Source organism: Homo sapiens, chromosome 5, assembly GCF_000001405.40.
Source record: "Homo sapiens chromosome 5, GRCh38.p14 Primary Assembly".
In the NCBI taxonomy this organism is placed as follows: domain Eukaryota; kingdom Metazoa; phylum Chordata; class Mammalia; order Primates; family Hominidae; genus Homo; species Homo sapiens.
Genome location: NC_000005.10, coordinates 168636708 through 168642525, shown reverse-complemented (window position 1 = coordinate 168642525; position 5818 = coordinate 168636708). Strand labels below are relative to the sequence as shown.

Below are 5818 nucleotides of genomic sequence, written 5' to 3'. Positions count from 1 at the left end.
AACATATCCAGAGAAAAAGACAAATTACATACTGAGGAACAACTTATTCATCAGAAACAATGAAGGCCAAAAAACAATCAAATAGCATATTTTAAATGCTTGGAAAAAAGGGAGGGGTCCACCCCTCCAACACCCGTGGAAAACTTACCCACACATAAAAATTACTTTCTTCATCCATCTGCTCCCAATATAGAAATGTTTTATACTGTCTCATTTATACAAAAGCAGCCCTGAGCTTTTTGTCTAAGTCCCAGTTCTATAAGTGCATTGGCCATGTGCCATTTAACCTCCCTGAACCTAAGCCCTTATCTGTAAATGCAGATGATAATAGCATCTATACTTCACAGGGCTACTGTGAAAATTAAATGAAATTAGAGATGTGTATTAGTCCATTCTCACACTGCTAAAAAAAGGCATACCTGAGACTGGGTAATTTATTAAGGAAAGAGGTTGAATTGACTCATAGCAGCATGGCTGGGGAGGCCTCAGGAAATTTACAATCATGGCAAGAGGGGAAGGAAACACGTCCTTCTTCACATGGTGGCAGAAGAAAGAAGTGCCAAGCAAAAGTGGGAAAAGCCCCATATAAAACCATCAGATCTCATGAGAACTCACTCACTATCATGAGAAGAGCATGGAGGGAACCGCCCCCATGATTCAATTACCTACCCCTGGGTCCCTCCCACAACACATGGGGATTATGGGAACTACAATTCAAGATGAGATTTGGCTGGGGACACAGTCAAACCATATCAAGATGTAAAGTCCTTTAGCACAGGACCAGTCCTAGCCCAATATACAATGGGCTAGAGACCACACAGTGGCAGAGGATGGAGAAGACAGCATGGCCTGTGCCTCCCAAAGACCTTTCCAAGTAGCCAGGCAACCAAGCTGTATGGCCAAGGAGATGGGATATTCTCATACACCATGACCTTGATCACAAGCATCTCTGTGATAGGTGAATGGGACCACATCTGAGCTACCTGGATAGAGAATGAAGGAATGCAAGGTAGTACCCCAGATTAAAACTAGAAGCTGTTACTAAAAAAAAGAATAATGGAGGTGGGAAGGCAAACAAGTGTTCACCCTGGGCTCCAAAGATGGATCACAGTTTTTCCTGCAGGAGCTCATGAATTAGGAAACGAGTTGTTAGACAGGCAGAATACAAAGCACTAGGTATTAGGACAGAGGGATGCACCAGTTATAAAGAGGCTAAAAGGGAGAGGAGAAATGACGGCCAGGAAAAGCTTCCTGGAAAAACTAAAATTAGAAACGAATATTGGGGGACAAGTTGGAGTTCACAAACAAGGAAGAGGAAAAAAAAATTGTCAGGCAATTGAGAAGAGACCTGGAATAGTCGGCAGTAGATTAAGCAGTAGAGAGAAGAAACAGGTCATGCCCGGCCATGCCGGGCCTTGTAAGGCATGCTAAGCAGTGCTAAGGAATTTGACTTTTTCCTCTAATGAGTAGCTTTCAAAGTTTATTTGTGTTTGTTTTTGTTTTTTTACCAAGACCCATAATAATAAAATTATTTAACATGGCCACTTGGACCACACATATATATATACATACATCATAAATACATAGACATATCCCAGCCTGGCCAACATGGTGAAACCCCGTCTCTACTAAAAATACAAAAATTAGCCAGGTGTGGTGGTGGGCACCTGTAATCCCAACTACTTGGGAGGCTGAGCCAGGAGAATTGCTTGAACCTGGGAGGTGGAGCATGCAATGAGCCAAGATCACGCCACTGCACTCCAGCCTCGGCAAGAGAGTGAGACCCTGTCTAAAAATAAATAAATAAATACATAGACATATGTATGTGTAAGTCTCAAATGTAACCACTTTGGAAAATTGTTTGGGAGTTTTCATAGTTATCATACATCTATCTACCCTGTGACCCAGAAAATTTATTCTTGATAGTATTGAGTGGATATGTCCACAAAAGAATTGAGTGGTTATGTCCACAAAAAGACATGTACAAGAAGCCAGGCCCATAGTGGCACATGCCTGTAGTCCCAGCTACTCAGGAGACTAAGGCAAGAGGACCCCCTCAAGCCCTGGAGTTCAAGATTACAGTGAGCTATCATCATGGTACTGTACTCCAGCCTGGGCAACACAGTGAGACACCATCTATAAAAAATAAATAAAAATAAAATTTAAATTTAAAAAGGACATGTACAAGAGCTTTGTTTATAGTAGCCAAAAATTTGAGAAACAGCCCATATGTCCATCAACAGGAGAATTGGATCATTAAATTCTGGTGTGTGTATACAATGAAATACAGCAATGAAAATGGACAAACTACTTCTATCTGCATCATCATGAATGCATCTCATGGACACAATGTTGAGCCAAAGACCCAAACCCCAAAAAGTATACATTCTTAGATTCCATTTACATGGAATTCAAGAACAGGCCAAACTAACTGATGGTTATAGCAGTCAGAATAATAATTGACTAGGAATGGGCATGAGGCCTTTTTGGGGTACCAAATATATTATATATCTTGACTTAAATGAGAGTACGCATATGTAAAAATTCATAAAGCTGTACCCTTAAGACTTGTGCACTTTACTGGATACATGTTACACCCAATACAAAGTTGTTTAAAATCATCACATATTTGACAGCATGTCAAAACTATCCCAAATCACAGTCAAATATGGTGTCTCAAATTCCCACTTAGAATATATACTTAACATTTTTTAAACTCTGAAACAAATGTTTCACAGAGCAATAATTACATGTGATTCAGGCTGGCATTCAGCCTATTAAATAGTTTAAATCCTGGTTACAACTCACTAAATTGATTCTACAGCCCACAAACAGGGTCATAACTCATTATTGAAAAACACAGTTCTAAACACTAGGAAGCCACTGAAAGTTTTTAAGAGGAGGAGAGACACAAACAGGATAGTGTTTTAGAAAGCTCCCTCTTGGGCAGTGTGGAAGATGGATTCAAGGTGAAGTCTGAGCCAGGGGATCTGGTGAGGAGGCCATTAGATTTCGGAAAGGGCCCTAGAGGAGAGGGCCTGGAGCCAGATCCTTCAGGTCATGGGTTTTTACCTGTCCCTTTGGGCCTCTGCATTGGCCTCTCAGTCTTCATCACACCTGGCCCCTGATGTCCCACATGGTGTCATCCCCACTAGTTCTACAGGTGAAGGCATTCGCCACTGGGAGTGGCTGGCTGGGAAGAACTGCGCCTATTACAAGGGTGTGGGGCAGAAACCTTTCCTCCCTGTCTCTTCCCAACAAGCAGCGGTTTCCCAGTGAATACTATTAGAGACATTGGTGTGGGGAAGAGCTAACATGGAAAGAAAGCAACTTGTGTGCCTATTCTTTCCAGGCACTATGAAAGTCACTTTATGTGTGTTATTCAATGCATCCTTACAACAACCTTTTTTTTTTTTTTTTTTTGAGATGGGTCTCACTCTGTCACCCAGGCTGGAATGCAGCAGTGGCGCAATCATGGCTCATTGCAGCCTCGACCTCAGGTGATCCTCCCACCTCAGCCTCTTGAGTAGCTGGGACTCCAGGCACACACCACCGTTCCCAGAGAATTTTTTTGTATTTTTTGTAGAGATGGGGTTTTACCATCTTGCCCAGGCTGGTCTTGAACTCCTGGGCTCAAGCTATCCTCCTGCCTCAGCCTCTTAATAAAAACACCCTTTAGAATAGTGTTATCTCCAAGGATAAAGAAAGTGAGGCTCCGAAAGGGAGCACCACACACACATCCAAGATCCCACAGCTGGTATGTGATAAAGCCAGGCCTAGAATCCAGGTCTGTGGATGCAGTGGCTCACCTCTGAATCCCCACACTTTGGGAGGCTGAGGTGTGAGGGTCACTTGAAGCCAGGCATTTAAGATCAAACTGGTCTACATAGCAAGACCCTGCCTCTATAATTTTTTTTTTTATTTAGCCAAGTGTGGTGGCATGCTGCTGCGGTCCTAAATACTTGGGAGGCTGAGGCAGGAGTATCCCTTGAGCCCAGGAGTTTGAGATTACAGTGATCTATGATTATGCTACTGCACTACAGCCTAGGCAAAAGAGGCTCTGTCTCTTAAAAAAAAAAAAAAAAAAAAAAATTCCCAGTGGCTGGGTATAATCCCAGTGCTACGGAGGGCTGAGACAGGAGGATTGCTTGAGGCCAGGAATTTGAGACCAGCCTGGACAACATAGTGAGACCCAGTATCTACCAAAAATAAAATAAGAGTCTAGGTCTGCCCAACAAAAGAAATCTAAGCTCTTTCTCAACAAGAGGCCTAACAATGTGAGTACATCCTGTCTTGGTTTGGGTTGCTGGCTGGAGAAGAGGGGCCTTGTTCATGCATGTGCCCGGTTTGTGGATGTGCCCATGGGCTCTGTGAAATCTTTCAGGGAGGGTGGAGAAACTTCAACTATGCAGTCTGCTGTCTGAATGGCACTGAGATTTCACACACACTGTTGAAGTGTGGTAACTTATGACTTTTCCCCACTTCTTTAATCCTTTTCTCAGCTAAGCCTAAGTGCAATAAATCTCAAGGCTCCAGCACCCAGCACTGGCAACTTAGGTGGTTGCTCTTTTACCCCATGTCCTTGGCCAGGGATAACAGGTTATGTGATGGACAGCAGGAAGCCTGGAAGCTCAAGGAAAGTGGAGGTCTGGAAGGGCCATATCCCTGGAGACCAGGCCCAGGCTGACCCAACAACCATCCTTATATTTGCACATGAGTGTTACAAATGAGAAGAAGCTGCCAAAATGTCTTGGCTCTGAGCTAAGCACCATGTTTCTTTCTAGTCACCTCCAAGAGAATTCTAGAAGGAGAAGAGGATACTAGTTGGAAGTCCTGAGGTCATTCTAAGCTGGGGCTCTCTGAAGGAGGATGCTGAGAATAATGGGTGTCTCAGCTGAGGTTCGACTTTGTAAACCAAAAATAAAACTCTAAGCCTTTCAACCAACTGAATGCACCCCTCCTTTCTGCCAAGGGCATTCCAAAGTTAACTGAAAAAGTACTTCAGGCCATGATGGGAAGCAGGGGTCAGGTATGTCTTATTATAGCCTCCTCCCTTTGGAATTCAGGCACAGCTGATCAGCATTAACATTAAAACAGAGAAGTTAAGACTGACAAAAAAAGACTTTTCTTTAGCAATAAAACACCAAATTCCAGCCTGAATCTAGTATAGCATAACATGACAGACAGCAGGCCCTGAAAGAAACTAAAGTATTTTACGCCAAAATATATTTATTTGACATTTTTTGAAAAGGCCCTGCAAAGCTATCTCTTGAGGGGAAGATCTACATTCTGTAGAGAAGCCCCTTCCCTTTCCAGGTCGTTTCCCTGATCCAGGAGAAAATTAACCAAGAATCTGACCTTTTTTAGGTCTGGTAAGAGCTCTGAAGCCTACTACCCGGAGGCTTTATCTGCATGATAAAACCTTGGTCTTCACAACCCCTTATCTTAACCCAGACATCTCTTTCTATTGATTCCAGGTCTTTGGATAATTCTTTTTTTTTGTTGTTCTATACTTTAAGTTCTAGGGTACATGTGCACAACGTGCAGGTTTGTTACATATGCATACATGTGCCATGTTGGTGTACTGCACCCATTAACTCATCATTTACATTAGGCATTTCTCCTAATGCTATCCCTCCCCGCTTCCCCAACCCCACAACAGGCCCCGGGGTGTGATGTTCCCTGCCCTGTGTCCAAGTGTTCTCATTGTTCAGTTCCCACCTACGAATGAGAACATGCGGTGTTTGGTTTTCTGTCCTTGAGATAGTTTGCTCAGAATGATGGTTTCCAGTTTCATCCATGTCCCTACAAAGGACAT

General features: G+C 43.1%; 1 annotated feature.

Moving 5' to 3' along the window:
- Positions 4521 to 5021: an enhancer, noted in NCBI's record as "H3K27ac hESC enhancer chr5:168064510-168065010 (GRCh37/hg19 assembly coordinates)". NCBI's record gives its function as "activates a minimal SCP1, AML or CMV promoter by ChIP-STARR-seq in primed H9 embryonic stem cells {active_cell/tissue: H9 hESC(primed)}" and the evidence as "EXISTENCE:reporter gene assay evidence [ECO:0000049][PMID:30033119]".